We start from the raw sequence: 19019 nt of genomic DNA on the forward strand, positions 1-19019 counted from the left end.
AGTTTGTGTGACTCACTTTGTTGCAATATTTGCTACATTGCAGTAGTCTGGAAACAAACTTGCAGTATCTCTGAGGTATGCCTGTGTGTACTAAAATTTGTATGAATAGTAATCAAGGGGAGCAAGTCAACAGCTACTTATGTTATACAAGGTGATATTATAAAGGAATTCTTGGGCTTTTTTTCTTTTTGTAGATGTATTTTAATTTATTATCTTTGGCTTAGGAATTACCATTAACCATTGTATAGGAACATGTCTAAGAGTGAGCTCTTTTTGCTTAACATCAGCTTTAAGTTGAGCTTTCATATTTAGACATAACTTATTTATTTAAAGCTATTAATATATAAAAGGTAATTATCAATTCTGGAAAAGTTTGGCTCTATGACAGTGAACAAACTGTAATTCAAGAAAAAGACTACTAAGTATGTGAAGCACCACATCCAGAGAAAAAAGATTTTCTAGCAAATTGGATACACATATAGAGGAAAGTGATTATGTGTGATTACTTCTGGGACTAAATTTGAAGTATGTTGGAAATAGGGTTGTCAATGTAATTTTAAAATTATTGACCTCTAACATAGTCATTATAATTGAAAATGTTACTTTATTTGTCTTGTCTTCCCTTGCCTTTACCTCTATCCTTCTGTTTTCTCCTTTGTTACAGATCATACATCTGTCGGTGGCCTGGGAGACAGTTTTTATGAATACTTACTGAAAGCATGGTTGATGTCAGATAAAACAGACCATGAGGCAAGAAAGATGTATGATGATGCTATTGAGGTGATTATTTCCAGAACATTTTTCTACTTAATGGATTGAATGTACAGTGTATTTTGTAGTGACTAGATGAATATCTTATAACCATTTTATTATAGACATTCAGTAAATACATACAAACATTTTATTATATGCATTCACTGTAGAGTTTGTTACTATTTTAATAGAAAAGCCTCATATTAAGTCTTCTTTTATTTGTGACATTTTTAAAGAAATTTTTGAAGAAAGAATTTATTGTAGTCCAGGTGCAGTGGCTCACGCCTGTAATCTCAGCACTTTGGGAGGCTGTGGTAGGCAGATCACTTGAGGTCAGGAGTTCAAGACCAGCCTGGCCAACATGGTGAAAACCCATCTCTACTAAAAATACAAAAATTAGCTGGGCATGGTGGTGCATGCCTGTAGTCCCAGCTACTTGGGAGGCTGCGGCAGTAGAATCGCTTGAACCTGGAAGGCAGAGGTTGCAGTGAGCTGAGATCTCATCATTGTACTCCAGCCTGGGTGACAGAGCGAGACTCCGTGTCAACAATAAATAAAATAAAATAAGAATTTATTTTAGTGTATTCATGAAAATTGATTTTATTTACTTTTAGTTAATGTTTACAGAGACTGGAAAAACTTCTGACTTTATATACATTTTCATAAACATTTTTCTTTCAAATGAACCCTTGAATCTACACATTGAGAGCCTTATGGGTAAATACTTAAATAATGACAACACACTTATATAGTATTTTCTACATGCCAGGCACTGTTCTAACCCTTCTTACATATATGAGATCATTTAATCATTATCACCATTTTACACATGAGGACCTTAAGGAACAATGAAGTTAAAGTAACTTGCTGAAGGTTGCATTGCTGGTAATTGATGGGGCGTGGAACTGAACAGTCTGGCTGCCGAGCCAGTGTTTTTAACCACTGTATTATATTGTTTCATATTTAAATGACTTCATACCATGATATTGTGACAGTTTATAATTGGAACAAGATTCATTCTAGGAAGAATTTATATGGAGTATTTCTAAGAAAAAACTGTGAAATAGAAAAGTAAGTCAGAAGTGTGTTAAGTGTGTTTAGCAGGTTATTAGCTTCCTGCTCTATTATAAACTGATACCCACTTAACAATTTTAGTTATTTTTTAAAAGTTGTATATTTTGTATATAACAACTCTGCTGATGTAGTCAGTAATTAGTTGTCAGAGTTATAATTTCTGTTTGGTTTGTTTTTTTCATTAAACCAAGAATCTTATCCATTTTATATCCCTACTGTTCAGGCACATAATTTGTTACAATTGTTTTTAAAAAATGCACAGGAGTTGAACTTAATATGTGGCTCACAGTGTTTTGCCCATTATAGGTACTCAACAAGTGTTTATTGAGATATTGTGTTAAATAATAAATTGAACTAAAGGTACAACCAAGAATATAAATTTTAGTAGGAGAACTTTATTCTCTTTTATTAAAATTTAAACGTAGAAAGTTGTATGATCCAAGATGGGTTATTATCTGGGAAGAATTTAATATTCTTAGAACCATATTGTTGAAAATAGCTCTTAGTAATTCCCACTAGACTGTGGCCTCCTTTGAGGGCAGAGACTAATTTATTTATCATTATCTCAGCACCTAGCACAATACTTGAAACATAATAAGTATTCCGTAGTATTTGATAAATGCATGAATATATTTAATATTATATTTGAGAACATGTGATATATCATATACCATGTAATAAATTAATTTTGTCTGTTTTCTTGTAATTTTCTTTAAAACTATTTTGACTTTTGCTTAATTTTTTCCAAAGGAAAAAAATTGTATTTGTCATTGTTTTTTTTAATCATACATGCTTTGAAAGGCATGATAACTGCTTTGAAAGTTAACCTTATAAATTCACACTATTTTTCATGAATCATCTGCTATATGTTATGTATCTTGTAAATATTTCTGTACTTGCTTTCTTTTCCCTGTTTTTATTAGTTTTATTAGTTTATTAAATCAAGAATAGGTACCTAATAAATGTTTTTTAATAACAGTTGATCAGCTTTCACTTTGAGACATGATCTCAAGTATGCAGTCTTTGCAGTGTTAATTATTTTCAAAAACTATTCTATTAGCGTATTATAAAATAAATGACATATGGAATGTATGAAAGAGATAGGAATGACCACTTAAGACTCATTGTAATTTGAAATACATTATTTTTAAACTTTGTCTTTCTGAGCTATTTTACTTAAATTATTCCATACCCCTCCTACCTTCCCCTATCCTTACAGATACCCATATTCTTTGTTTCTACTTTCTTTTAAAATTATTGGTAAAAAGCCCTAACTGACTGCCTTTTACTTTAGTTCTAGTAAGTCCAGGTGGATATGCTTGGATATCTTTTAATTGTAATATGGTAAGATTTAGGTTACAATGAACAGAAATGACAAACATATGGATACCATCTTTAGGCATTTTTGGAATACCTTATATGTGGAAAACATGGTACTATCATGAGGTTCAAAAAGATGAAAAATACCACCCCATACTCAAAAAACTAATCTTTTTGTGCTTCAGAGTGCTATGGTTAAAACAATGACAAAAACTTATAATCCAAAGATAATTATCATTTTGGTTATCAGCCACCTCTCATTCCCCAACATCAAATACAATTATCTAAGAGCACCATTCATTTATGAAATTACTTAATAATTAAACATGTATTGAGTGCACACTACATTATATGCCTTCTGGAATACAGGTGATGAGTAAGACATAGTCACTCCAGTTCTGTTAAACTCACATTATTATTATGGAGAATACAGAGTAAAATTTTCCAAGGCTGATTGTTACTAAACTTGTCAGAGAACAACTGACAGTAAAAATACTCTTTTTTCAGAAAGAAAAGTTAACCACTAATCATGTATAATAGTTTCTACTAAAGAAAACTGAGTTAATGGCCATTGCTTATACTTTTCCATAGAAATACCTCTAAAGGTAGAAAATAGCTCATCTCAGCAAAGTCTAAGAACATATTCCAAAGGAGCAAAGCTCTTGAAAATCTCATTTTAAAACTGAAATGTGATTGTTATACTCTGATATACTCAAGTTTAATATAGACTATTTCTCTCACCATTCCTACATCTTTTGAGAAAAATGTATGTTCCAGTAGGGTAGACAGTGTTTATAATATGGCTTCTCTTATCCATGACAAAGCATCCAAAACAAATGCCTAAATTTGAGAAGTAAGGGACTAAAGATAATATTATGTAGAAGGTAATCTTTAGGCCAAGTCTCTCCTCTTCCACTCTGTCTTATTATGGTAGTGATTCAGATATTGGTTCCAGATTATATGCAATTTGATCACCCACTCCGACACTTGCTGTTAATTAAGTCTCAGTTTGGGAAAGTTACTACTTTATAGACTATCATATTACCCAGGTTTTATAATGGCCAGAAGGATATAGTAAGTTTGAACACTAATAGTTTGCATCTAAAATTTTGAATATCTTTTCTTTCCTGTAGGCTATAGAAAAACATCTTATTAAGAAGTCTCGTGGAGGTCTTACCTTTATTGGAGAATGGAAGAATGGGCACTTGGAAAAAAAGATGGGGCATTTGGCCTGCTTTGCTGGGGGAATGTTTGCACTAGGAGCAGATGGTTCCAGAGCAGATAAAGCTGGTCATTATTTAGAGCTAGGGGCAGAAATTGCACGTACTTGTCATGAGTCATATGACAGAACTGGTAAGAATATTAATAAGGCTAATTATATAGTCTAAAATAATCTCTAAGTTAAAAATGTGTTCAGCAATAAGAAGGAGAATATATAGGCACTTTTTACTTCCAAATAGTTTACACCAACAAGGCAAATCATTTTCTTAAGAACTTGAATTTTAATTCTGGAAATGTGTCTCTGCATTATTTTTTAAATTCTGAATTCTGCTGCTGTTTCTGTTAAAGATTTTGAAGTAATTGTTTTAAAGACAAGAATCGTGGGGTATTTGGGAATATATGGAATAACTTTTAATATAAGAATCTATTTTTGCCATTTCAGCTTCTATAAAAACAGTTACTTAAAAGAACATAAAATTGACTGACTTCAGTTATATTGCCTTGCCTATCCTCTTGTGATAAGAAGAATAACCAAAAGATAACAATATTTATCTTTATTGGTATCTGGCTAACTAGTAGTTTTTCAATTAGTTCACCAGTAGTTTTTGGAATTGTTTATGGCTTTAACTAAAAAGATCCTCTGACATTGCACTGGGCAAATATTTTCTGAACTTCAGTGTCCTTACTTGGAAAAGGAGATGATTCCTAAATGGTGACAAAAATTGTTTTGGTTGGGGCTGAGAAAATTTTTACTCTTTTTATGTATAAAGCACAGATATACATATAGTCATAAATAGATACACAGTATATATTTGGTATTAAAATTTTATGGAGGGAGAAGGCAATTAGGCTTTTTTAAAAAAGACAAAAGGTTTCTTAGGGGTGCAGTAATGAAAAGGGGGCTGAAAAACACTGGACTAGACCTTCCAAGGTTTTCTCTGGCTTTAAAAACATGAGTTTCTATATGAAGTAATAGATAATGAGCTCCCTGAAAGCCAAAAAACTAGAAATTTCTATTTGATTTCGGAAGTTGAATTGTTGATTTTATTAAATAACAATTTCTGTTTTAGGGTTAATTTATCATCAGATACCATGAAACAAATATGATTGACCTAAAATTTATGCTAGTTCATAAATCTGTCAAGTTATTTTTATACAGTAAGGAATTAAACTTATGGCAAAATTGATTCTTCAGTTCTCATTAACTAAATAAGGGTTCCATTTCTTGAAAGAATATAAGTCAAGAGGACGGTGAAGTAGTGTTATTTTAGGGTAGTTTAAGTGTTGTTGTATAATACATATAATGGCAGCGATCTGAGTTCAAAATAGAGGCTAAATTAAATTATCGTGTTGATACAGAATGCCAATTATGCCTTAAAATATAGCTAAAATTAGTAAAACATTGAGGACCAGGATGGATATTCAATTTTATATTAGGATCCATGAGAATAAGGATTGTTATTTTGCAGATTTTGACCAAAAATCAAATAATAGACCTAAAATAATTGAATTTCATATAGCATACATTCTAAAATATGGTATATCATAGTTACTATAATTAAATATTTACTCCATGAAACAGGGAACAGCCATTATATGCCAAGTATTATGCTAGATGCTTATAGGTTAAAGTATGAACAAGATACATTCCCTGCCTTTCAGAAATTCATAGTGTACCAGAGTTTGAAAGGATTTCCTTATATTTCTGATTTTAATGTTTCATAATGACATTGCTGATGCTGATTCTTGTTCTGATTGTCATTTTCACATTGCAAGTTGATGAACCCATGACCCTCTTTGTTATGGTAAACCAAAAAATGATTATTTGATTTGTGTCCTGTATTTTCAAGTCTTCTGTTGTTTTTACTTGTCTTTAATCTCAATTTAGATCCTTTAATTAAAAAGTACAATCCTAGTTTTGCTAACTTTCCAGCAGGTTATTATATCCTCTGCTGTGTTTTCTTATAGCTGTGCTATAATTTTTGGCCACCATATTTTAAAATATCCATTCATTTTTCCTTAGTAGTTATTCCAGCTAAATATATACTGTAATTATCTACAACTAAATCAATTCATAATCTAAGCTCTAAAATGTTTCCTTATATGTGTGTATTATGGCAAAATGTCTTTAAAATTACCTTGCCTTTAAAAAAAACATCCACACAGTGTCATTATCTATATACTTTTATTTTAGACCACAATGGACTGTATGATGTGCAAATGTCTAGTTTGCATTTGTTTCCAAAAGATTACTAGACTCTTTTTGGTAGAATTAGATTTAGCAGTATGTTGATACACATTATTCTGAGAAACATTTTATGTTAGAATAACAGGAATGTTTATAAGTCTATTTTAAGAAAACCAAATGTGGATCTTTTAAAATGACTCATTTTGCACTGAGTGCAAACAGCAACAATAAAAATAAACAACAAAAATTACTTCATATTCTGTTCTTTCAGGGAAGAAAGAAGTCCTTGCAAACAAACATAAATGGTTTATTTTGCTCAGTTATTTCTTTTGTCATGTTACAGCATTAAAGCTAGGTCCTGAATCATTCAAGTTTGATGGTGCAGTGGAGGCTGTGGCTGTCCGGCAGGCTGAAAAGTATTATATCCTCCGTCCAGAAGTAATTGAAACCTATTGGTACCTATGGCGATTCACTCACGATCCAAGATACAGGCAGTGGGGCTGGGAAGCAGCACTGGTAAATAAGCCAATATTCCATTTTATCTGCAAGAGTGTTAACTCATGCCCTCCTATGATGCCACATACCCTCACCCATGTTACCTCATTTTTAGTATCTGTAGGGCAGTTTTTATTTATCTGATGAAGAAACTCTTAGTCAATTTAAGTTTCTGGGCAGTAGAAATAAATCTTACGATATATATTAAATATATATTAAAATATATTAAAAATATATAAATATATATATTTCAAAGGAGGAATTTTTAATGGTTAGTTAAGTAAAGGAAGCAAGTGGTTTACTCTTAAAGTCTTTCAGGGAATCCATAGCTATCAGTACCTAGGGAGGAAAAAACTATTAGTCTTTTATGAAAGTATAGCTTATTCCCAGGGTAAGGGGTTGTTTTATTCTTTGAGATTTACTAATTGTGATAAATAGCACTAATTATGGTGACTATTCGTATTCAAATTGTTTAACTTAAGCTTACAATCTAGATAGAATGACTAAGGACATCCCAAATGAGGTCAGTAGTGCTGGTAAATTGCCCAGACAGGAATGTATGAGATATATTTTAAGGCAAGATGTATACCAGTTTATGTAAAGCGAACGTTTCACAGTGGCAAAGTGGGAGAGAAGATTGGAGCCATTATGTAGACAGCCTTACACACCAAATCAAAGGTTCTTAGTTGTTCAGGAAATAAGACGTGTGCACAACTCCCTCCCCGTAATACACACTCTCTTAGTTACTTCTGTCAGCTACTGCGTTAAGTGCTGTCATATGGGAAATGGTAACAGAAAGTTCTTTGCTTATCCAAAAAGCCCTTCAGATCTTACTTTTCTTTTTTCCTTAGCATCTTCTACCTGCAAAAGCTCCTTGACTTTTGAGAATTCCTTACAGAACTGCTAAATGTTTTATAAGGGGGAAGGAACTCCTGAAGGCTTTTTTCAGTGGGGAGTAACAAAGCAAAAGGATCTGATTGTAATCCACAAATTGGTGGGTTTGGGAGACCACAGCCATAACCTAGGAATAATGTGAGATCTTGAACTAAGGGGAGTACACTTATTTTTCACCTGTCATTCAGACCTAGATAGTCCTGCTGGACTTTAACAATAAGAGCATATTAATGGAAACAAGTGGTTACACAGGACAGGAACAGATGCAGCATTTATTGATGCTGCTTTTCCTTGGCCCCTTGGCTCCAGAATTGGGAGCACAGCTACTAGTGAAATTCTCTGTGTAGGAGGGTGCTGCCACAGTTGAGAAGACAGCCAAACTATTGCCACAGTGGTTTGGGAATAGAATACACACACACTTCTATTGTTAGCAGTGGCTTACTAATGCTTCCGTAAATTAAGCACTCTTTCATGTAAGGGAAATAGGTAAAATAATCATATAATGAATCTGTTTCACTTGAATGTCCCCTGATATTTAATGCTCCTTATTTACAGGAATGAGGGGGATATGTCTGAATCACGTGAGGAGTGGAAAGTGGTGGCAGAAGCACTTTTTGTCATTGAGGAATACTTTAGGATAATTCATCCTTTTCCTAATGTCCTTTTTTCCTGTGTGCTTTCTTCAAGTATGGCCCTACTTTTGTCTGTTAAGGAGAGGTGTGACAGGGTCAAACTTTAGCCCATGTCTGTCTAAATTTGAATTATAGGAGGTAGAATTTTGCTTTTGTAGCCTATATGCACAAACACAAACTCAATGTATAATCGGTCAAGAACAAGAACTAGAGTAGTTATACTCTAAATTCAAGTTTCAGAAGTGTGCAGTGGAAGTGATGAGAAGAGGGAGGAATGGAGGCAAAAGAGGCGGTGTCATATCTTAAATAGTATTTGCTCATGCATCACCATTGGCCTCTCCTCTTGGGTGCGAAGAAAGCAAAGGGAAGGCTGGGTGAGGCAGAATAGCAGTATAGCGTGTCTTCTGTAGCCTTAGCTATTCTGTTTACATATTCAAACTTCCAAACTTGCCCTCATGACTTTAAATGTCTTAAAGATTAGTCATGCCTCCCCACTACTTTCTTATTATTCTTAAACCATTTTGATAGTTCATGTGGTGGTGAAGACACATGATTATTGTGAAGAAAAGTACTTAAAAACTCTTGTATCCAAAATTTCTTTAGAATATATTAGAGAAAAGCACCAAACCCCTTAAATTTAGTTATAATCAAAATGGAGCTATAAAATGAGCAGATTGATTAAATAAACACCTTTTTAATGTTAATTAGCTTTTCATAGGAAGGAGAAGCCCAGAAGAGTAAGAAAAGTAGCAAGACTAGGAACAACAAGCCATGGCAGACAGCGATGGTTAGTTAAGTAACCATGCCTTCATTGGATGACCTTGCAGGGTTAGGTAGAATAGAAAAACAAAACTACCACATGTGCTTTCCACTTTTCATGATTGGTTGAATTCTGGACTGTGCTGTACCTGCATAAGCAGACTGTTTGGTTGCTTTGAATTAAAAAATAAGGTTGTGAATAGATTCCATTTGATTCAGTATATTTTATTTAGGCATGCCCAAAGATGCAAAAAGAGTAAGAATTTTAACTCTCAGTCAAGCAGTAAAGCACAGTAGTTAATAATGTAGAGCAAATTACTCTGTGCCTCAGTTTTCCCATCTGAAAAGTGAGGCTGTTAACCTCATAGAGTTCTGAAATTCAAATGTGACTGTATTTAAAGCTCTTAGAACAGCATTCAGCACATAGTAAATACCTTATAATTGTTAACTCTTTATATTGTAATTATTATTGTAGTAGGTGGGCTCTTTCTGCCAGTTGGTACCACCTGTAATGGCTAACTCATAGGATTATGATAATGCAATGTCTGGCATATGGTATGTATTTAGTAAATATTATCTCTTACCGCTATTACTATAGAGTGCTCCTAAGTAATATTTTTTAGCATGTTGTGGGTTATTGTTTGTCCTTGGAAGTGATAAAATTGCATTAAAAATTGTTAATTGAAACTGACCTCCATCTTGATTTGTTAGAACTAATGGACCTTTATTTTGCCAGACAGACCCCTCATTTAGAAAAAATAGCCTAAATTTGATTTCTAAGTTAGGAAAATATAAGATGTCTTAAAAAGATTAAAGAGTTTTGGAGACAGAGAAGTTCTATAGGAAACATCCTGTTTCTCGTATGAGTTAATTTTTCCAGTATGAGAATATTTCCTTTTGATAATATATTATTCTTAAGCCATCAAATTTTCATACAAATCTTTATGAGCTTTTGACTATTGTCCTTCAAAGTTTTGTTGTCCTTCAAAACTTGAAATTCTACGGAATTGCTTATTTTGTCTGATCTCTTTCATAGGCCATTGAAAAGTATTGCCGAGTTAATGGTGGGTTTTCTGGAGTCAAAGATGTATATTCCTCTACTCCTACACATGATGATGTACAGCAGAGCTTTTTTCTTGCTGAAACATTAAAGTAAGTATATAGCTTTAAAAAATATTTTTATACTAGACTGGTTTTGCTGTGTGATCACTAGATGATGAATTACAACTATGTGACAGGTTACACTAAATTTTGTTGTAAATATCTTTTTATGTAATTGGGTGTGTAAATTTTTAGCTACATCTCAAAAAGAATGACTTAGACTATAAGGTAGGTATTTTATCAAAAAAGTACTTAGTACCTGTTAAAATTTTTTGTTCTTTGCTCTTTAATGTGCATTAAAATCACCTGGAAGGCTTCGTAATACACAGGTAACTAGGTCCACACTCACGAAGTTTCAGTAGATCTGGAGTTTAGCTTAAAAATTTGCATTTCTAACAAGCTCCCATGTGTTACTGATAATGCTGGTCCTGGACTCATACCTGAGCTCCCTACTGTAGCTAATGAAATCTGTTAGGAATGATCATGCAGTTTTGATAGTACTAAATGACCATAGCCACTCATCCACCCGATGAGCCTTACTGTAAAGATACACATAAAAGGAACAATGGAAAAGAGTAGACAACTTTATTTTCGTCTTATACTCCAAACCCCAGGTAGAGGTCTCTGTAAACAGACCTGGAAGAGATGGAGATTGTAAATATGTCCACTTCCCTAAAGACTGACCAAATAAATATCTCTTCATACTCGCTCTTAAATTTATTATTTGTATTTCTTGCATATCTGTACATGAAAGCCTTGTAAACATTTTATTTTTTCAACAAATGTGTATTACCAGGCACTGTTCAAGCCACTTGAGGATGTTTCAGTAGGCAAGCAGGACAAAAATTCCTGCCTTCTGGATTTTACATTCTAGTATACTTGTAGTTTACATTCTCATATATTACAATTAAAATGTACCGTTCTCAAACTAAGTTTCTAAATGTCTATCTTATTCTAATTTTTCTTTTATTACCCCAGTACTGTTGTTTTCCTATCTTTTTAGCTTATACATTATAGAATCATCTGCTTCCTCCTTTTAATATATCACCAATTCTTTATGCTTCTTTCTGTTACATTTTTTTATTTTGCTCCCTCCTTTCCATTTCTACAATTTACCCTAATCCAGCCCCTTATTACTGCTGGGATGGTTTAGAACATCTGCCTGGTACTCAGTTTCCTACATCTAGATGTTTCTTATTCTGACTTATCCTTTGTGATTAGGCTTGAGACTGTAGAAGTTGAAAGAGCACTAGACTAGAAAATAAAGTGACGGGAACTTTAGTTGTACACTAGCTACATCTAGCTGAATGAACATGTCAAAATAAAATTTTTTGCTTTTGGTTTACATGTCTGTAAACTATGGAATTTGGCCCAGATTGTGTAGTATCTCTCCTGTTTTTTTTTTTTTTTTAAACTTCAGAAAAACTGTAAGATAGGACAATGATTATTTGTGTCTTTTCACCTAGTTTTGCCACATTTCCTTCTCTTTCTTTCTGTGTACACTCACATATACACATAGTTTTACTTTTTTTTTAGCTTTTTATTTTGCTGGACAAGTTGATGGTGACCAGCAATATATTTCAACAGTAGGTTTCAAGAAAAGGTCATCATCTTACATAATCACCATTCAGTTCTCACACTTGCGAACCTTAATATTCATATAATAATGTTGTCTAATATGTAATCCCATTTTCAAATTTCTCCAATTGTTCCAATAATGTACTTTATTTTTGTTTAATGCCAATTCAGGATCCAGTATGGGATCATTTGTTACGTTTGGTTGTCATCGTCTCTTTAGTCTCCTTTAATCTAGCACAGAGTTTTCCTGTTTTTCTTTTATCTTTTATGAAATTGACATTTTTAAAGTTTTCAGGCTAGTTGCTTTGAGGAATGTTCCCCATTTTAGATTTTTTTCTAATTGTTCCACATGATCAGATTTAGGTTAAACATTTTCAGCATGAACATTATATGGATCTGTGTTCTTATCATTGCATCCCTTAAAGAGACACATAATAGTTTAGCCCATTATTGGTGATTTTAAATTTGAGCATAGGTTATATTTGATTATTGTCATGTAAACAATCTTTTTTCTTTTTGTAATTAATAACTTATCTGTGGAGTGATAATTTTGAGACTGTGAATATTCTTTTAATCCTAGATTCTATTCTTAAACCAACCTAATGTACATTCAAATATTTACGTATATATAAAGTTTCTTCTCTTGCATTTGTCTATTTTATATTTCATTGCTTCTGGCAGGAATGCCTTTATCCTTTCTATCAATTAATGCCTCTCTCTCATTTCTAATTTCAGTTCAAATTTCACCTCTTTGCAGACTGGCTTTCATAATTAATTCTCAAATCTCTCATCATTACAACTTGGAGCACTTTAGTACATGCATGGCATAGGGCTGGAAATAGATGGTATGCTGCCTCATCCCCTTCTAGTACCTATATGGAATATCACCAGTTAATCTTGGTACTTTTCCTTGCCAAGTTCAGTCAGAACTCTTCTCAACACAACAGTATGCTAGGTAACCAGTTATTTATGTATATCTATCTATATATATATAGATAGATATATTTGCTACAATTTTTGCTTTTAGAAAAACATATATCTGGAGCAATAAAAGTGAAAAAGGTCAAACAAAAAGAAACATACAAATAATTATAACATCACCTAGGCTAAGAAAATTGTCACAGTTGAGCAGTACATTCAGCATTGCACTTCCTGGCAGTACATTCAGCATTGCACTTCCTGGCAGCTAAAGCAAAAAGGAATCATTCTGCACAGTGTCATTATCATTTTTGGGAGTTGAGGGAGCATATTACTTTGACAAATGAGACAGAATTTTTTATGTTGCTAAATTATAAAATGACTTAAATTGGATAACTCTATAAAAATATTGAACTATTAAGTGAACCATATGAAATTACCCTTTTAAAAAGGGTAATTTGAATATTGGCAATTTAGTATAGTTCAACCTAATACATAATGGTAATGGTAAATATTTTGAAAATATTTATTTTGTTTGAAACAGTGATCTTAGGGAAGATACAAAAACACTCAATCTGATTTACTCTTTATAAAAACTGATGGCATAATATTAAAATACAATTGAATAAAGTCATTTCTGTGAAGATCTAAATTAATGTAGCTGTAGTTTTATTGTAAAAATAGAGCTTAAAACTTTATAGAGGAATGAAGATAAGTATGGTCTCTTAAATATTTCTCAAATATCAGTTAATTTAAATAGGCTTTGTCAGAAGCTGTCAGTTTAAGATTATGTATTCTCCCAATTGGTGGGAATTTACTGCGGATTCATTAAAAGGCAACAATCAATGTGTTTTAGCTACCAGAGATGGAAACTGATTGTCACGGCAGTGGCAAAGTTAAATGAAAAAACCTGTATTCTTGACGTAAGTTGAGGCTCATTTTACCTTTTACATGTGTCATAGGTGCTATACCATGGAGTAGTTATTGCTATAGGCATACTTTTTTCCCCAGAAGAGGCCATGTCTCCTACTTTTTTTGTTTCCCTCAATAGACCTTACTTCATGGATTAATATTTATCTAGCATATATACTGATGGCATAACAAAAACTATGTAATGAGGAAGGTCAGAGATAGATTCCTTCAAAGGTTCTAAAACTCTTATACTCTAGTACAGGAAATAAAACACAAGCAATATATACAACAAATTTTAAATACATTAAGTGCATAAGAGAAATATTAACAAAATGCAGAAGTCTTTTAGAGAAGAAAGAGTTTGCTTAACCTGAAAAACAAGGGAATACTTCCTGGAAGTAGTAGCATTTGAACCAGACTTGAAGGCAAGGTGGGTAAAATAGGATGAACTGGTATTCAGGGTAATAGCTATAAAGTAGACCATGGGATATTAAGAATGAGATGAGAGCTCTAAAGGTAGAATTGACAAACCTGAATATCTAATTAGATATGAGGAGATTCAGTAAGAAGGAAGAATCAGAGATAATATTAAAGTTTCCAGTGCCAACCTGACTACAGTTTCTAATCAGCATGTTAGTGCCTTACTTTTAAATATTAATAAACAGTATTGACTTAGAAATGTTTATTGAACGATAAACATGTAAGATTTGGCATATTTGTGTATGTGTGTTATACTTTGACTTTTAAAGTTTAAAATATGAATATAACAAGGTTAAGAAAATATCCAAAAATAGAAGGATATGTTTCCAGCTTGAAAGACACCATCAAGATCCCAGCATAGAAGATGAAAACAGACCCACAACAAGGCACAGCACCTTGGAATTTCAAAACCACTGGGGTAAAGGAAAGATCTCAGCTTCCACAGGGAGAGAGAATAGAATAAAGTCTCGTAGATCTGGATTCAGAGTGCCTTCAGACCTCTCAAGAACAGTCATGAAAGCTAGAAGCATTGGAGCAGTTGATTCATGAGAGAAAATTAATTCCAACTTAGAATTCTGGGTTTTTAGCCATGTAAGGTATCAAAAATCCACTTCCAATCCTCTTTCTCAGTAAGTTTTTGGAACATATGCTCCATGAAAACTGGATATAAACCAAAAAAGAAGACATAAATACAGGAAAGAAGTGAAAGGAAGATAAAGGGATACTGTATTGAGATTGAGGAGGACAGAGGCTCTGAGAGATTTCTTCAAGATTAAATGTATAGACTGTTTATTTCTGAGTATTTTGAGACAAGAATTAGTTGCTGAAGATTTTAGGTGCATTATTACTAATAAATACAAGTCAGCTTGCTTTTTAAATAAGGGGAGGAGTCATGTAAGAAAGAAAAGCCATGAATAGCTTTTAGTTAACATATGAACTTGTTTAAAGACACTTGGTTGGAGTCTTGATTGTTTTGTAAGAAGAGCTAAATGGTACTACTGTCCCCTCTCCAGCTGCAAGAAAGAGAAATATGTTCTTTGATAATGGCTTTTGTCCCTCCAAGGATTGTCTTATTCATTGGATTCAGTGAAATAGCAGTTGGTCAAAAGTCTCTTAAGCTGAAAGAATTGCGAGGAAATTAGCAGATAGAACACCAAGACTCCTAGGAGCGGTTCTCTAGTAGCAGCACTTGAATTGCTGAATGAATATCTCCCACGTGGATTCTCTATGGTTCTATCACTTTATACCATTTACTGTCATAAGCCTCTTATCAAAAACTTTGAAGGTGTGTATTATTTTATATATGTACCTTAGTGTCTACACCCATTCACCTAGATCTTTCTTTGAATTAGATTTTCATTGCACCTTACCTCAATTCTGTTGCACATTTATTTAAAGATCTGATAAACTGAGAAAAGTATACATTTTGAGGATACATTTCAACCATTTTTTTCTGAGTTCATATATATCAGGCATTAGGCAGCTCAGAAATCACAAGTTGGAAACATAGTCTTAACAAATTTGTTATTAAAGGAAAGAGAAATAGCATAAAATTAAGATCAAATTTATCACCACAGTATGTCTACTTTCACTGGTATCAGAGTCTCTGGGGCAGAAATTATGTCTGTGTCTCTTGCTTGTGTGCTTTTTTCCTCCGTATCTCTTGAAATTCAAACTTTGAATATAGTAAAATTCTGGAAAGCTATATAAGAATATGTCTTATATTCTTATATATACTTATATACTTAAGAATAAGTAATCTTAAATAATCAGAGTTATGGACAAAGATTTATGTACAGAGATGTTTATTGCTGTTATAAAAATAAGTCATTATTTGTTCAATAATAGCTGAATGGTTAAGTAAATTATGGCACATCCACAATAGTATCATGAAGCCAAAACAATTGCATTTTTATAGACTTTTCACAGTATAATATTAAGTGGGCTATTAAGTCCACATGTGCATACGTAACACATAGATGAACATGTTAATAGTATTTCAACAATATCAAAATGTGAACTGTAGTTTAGCTTAATTGAAGTTATTTTAGTTTTTAAAAATACTTTTTGTTTTTGTCTCTGTAAATATTTAAAAACATCTTTAAAAATACTCTATTTTGAAAAAAATAGGCTGGATCACTGCTAAGTACCAAAACTAAGTTTCTATAGAGCAAAGCTTTAAATATTAAAAAAAGAAATAAAATCATGAAACAATTGGAAAGTTTTTTTCAACCCTAGGGATGAAGATGGCATGATACAAAACCCAAAGATCATTGAAGAAAAGATTGAGAATTCAATTACATAAAAATAAAAAACATCTGTACAAAAAAAAGAGCACTAAGTAAAGTAAAAGACAGATGGCACACTGGGAAAACATTTCTTAAAATTAGAAATTATTAAGAAAAAATACTAAGCCTACTAAAAAAGGTAGTAGCAGTTCTTAGAAAAGAAATGGCTGTAAACACATGAAGAATGCTTGATCCACTTGTAAGAAATAAATGAAATAATAGATCAGATGCTATGTTTTATTTACTTTCACACTGCTTAAGATTTAAAAGTTTTTGTTCTGGTGTTGGCAAGGATGTAAGAATCTAGTCACTTTCAAACACCCTAAGTGAGAGTACACTGGAAGTATATTCTTTTTCGTTGTTGTTAAGGAAGCAAGGTCCACCTGTGGCCCCTGCCCCGACTTGGAAGTATATTCTTAAAATATCCTTAAGTGTGTATTATCAGTACTTCATTTGTCCTGATAGTCTATGTGAAATATTAATATTCTCAGTGCTTTAGTTTAGTGTTTGAGTTAGAACAAGCATGCATGCAATCAATGTGTTTGTTGAGCTATATATACATAACAGCATAGCACTTGTCATATTAAAATCAGTTGTTTAAACACTATAATGTGTAGCTCCTAAAAAATCAAGTTGTTTTTAATACAGCTTTTTTTGAATTATAAAAATAGCATGTGGATATTGCAAAACGAGTTAAATAGTGCAGAACTGAAGAAATGACAAAAAAAAAAAATGAGTTTCTTTGTGCCTCACATCCAATCTCACTTCCCAAAGAGAATAATTATTAAATAGTTCTTGATATAGCCTTCTGGAAATTTTCTGGGTATATGCAAACATATAAAAATATATATAATATATATCCTTTAGCCTTTTTTCTCCATATATAAGATTATATATACCTATTATTCTGAAACTTGCATTTCCACCTTTTTATCTAGGAAAGGTTTCCATATTGGCATATATAAATCCACTGAGGAATGTTTTATAATTTGTTTAATCAGTACCCTATTGTTAGATATAGAACTTGGTTCTGTTTTTTTGCTCTTATAAACAGTGCTTCAGTGAATGTCCTTTTACATATATCTCTGCTCCCTGTGTGAAGATAAATGTTGGTTAGATTCCTAGAAGTAAAATGGATGACTAGGGCAGTGGCATGTGCATTTGACATAACTATAATTAAGCAAAATAAGCTGAGAGAGCGAACTTTTCAGAAAACTTCTCAGAGAGTTTCAGAAAATTAATTAGAAATGGTTAAAATCAGATGGGTATTCTGAGAAGTATGGAGACATTTAGGCACTACCTGATAATGTGTAGTAAGATTTGAATGAACAAACCTTTTGTTTTAAGTAAATCTTAGACAACAGAGTAAATCACTTAAAACTTGTTTTCTGTAAGTTAAGAACACAGATGAAAAGTCAAACAATCAGATTCTTAGGAAGTAAATGGAATGACAGTTTCAGTGTTTGCTCATCCTTTTAAACTAGTGCTTTCTGGAATCCTTAATTCCACCTCTTTGTTCTTTATCAAGATGTGAGCTCTTTTTCTACTAAGTAAATAGTGATTAAAATATATAAACAATACAAATGTAATATATGAAATGATTTATCCAACAAATGTTTGTTGTTAAGTGCCTGATGTGTGCCAGCTGTTTTGTATGCTAGGGCTGCATCAATGAATGTAAAATAATCCTGACATAAAATAACTTACATCCTAAAAATTTCATTCACTCTCCCCCTAACTTATAATTATGCTGTTTTGAGTGCCTGCCTGTAAAAATATGCCCTATGTGTATTATCCAAACCCTTCATTATTCTCTGTCCTTGCCCTCCTTTATTTTTCTTCATAACACTAACATCATCTGTATTAGTCCATTCTCACACTGCTATAAAGAACTGCCCAAGACTGGGTAATTTATGAAGAAAAGAGGTTTAATTGACTCACAGTTCTGCATAACTGGGGAAGCCTCAGGAAGCTTAAATCGTGGCAGAAGGGGAGGTGGGCACATCTTACGTGGTGGCAGGAAAGAGAGCATGTGAAAGAGGAACTGTCAAACATTATAAAACCATCAGATCTCATGAGAACTCACTCATTATCAGGAGAACAATATGGGGGAAACCACCCCCATGATCCAGTCACCTCCCACCACATCCCTCCCTCTACATATGGGGATTATGGGGATTACAATTCGAGATGAGATTTGGGTGGGACACAGAGCCAATCCATATCACCATCTGACATAGGTGTGTGGTGTTCTTGTTTGGTAGAGATGCGGGTCTTGCTAATTGCCCTGGTTGGTCTTGAACTCCTAGGCTCAAGCAATCCTTCTACCTTAGCCTCCCAAAGTGCTGGGACTACAGGTATGAGTCATCATGCTCAGCCTAGATGGATTTTTTTTTTTAATCTATC

At 32.9% G+C, this 19019-nt stretch overlaps 1 protein-coding gene across 4 annotated transcripts in view; it reads left to right on the top strand.

Annotated features, from left to right (window-relative positions):
- Positions 1 to 19019, top strand: part of MAN1A2 (mannosidase alpha class 1A member 2) — a 161424-nt gene that overhangs the window by 125034 nt on the left and 17371 nt on the right. For 3 of the 4 annotated variants that reach the window (NM_006699.5, XM_006710302.4, XM_011540536.4), the window contains exons 9-12: positions 665 to 780; positions 4281 to 4500; positions 6900 to 7072; positions 10373 to 10488. In NM_006699.5, coding sequence (NP_006690.1) covers positions 665 to 780; positions 4281 to 4500; positions 6900 to 7072; positions 10373 to 10488 — 625 coding nt within the window. Of the gene's footprint in view, positions 1 to 664; positions 782 to 4280; positions 4501 to 6899; positions 7073 to 10372; positions 10489 to 19019 lie in introns of those variants that run through there. The other variant, XM_017000115.2, reaches the window with a different exon arrangement.

This window comes from Homo sapiens, chromosome 1 (genome assembly GCF_000001405.40).
Source record: "Homo sapiens chromosome 1, GRCh38.p14 Primary Assembly".
Taxonomy (NCBI): domain Eukaryota; kingdom Metazoa; phylum Chordata; class Mammalia; order Primates; family Hominidae; genus Homo; species Homo sapiens.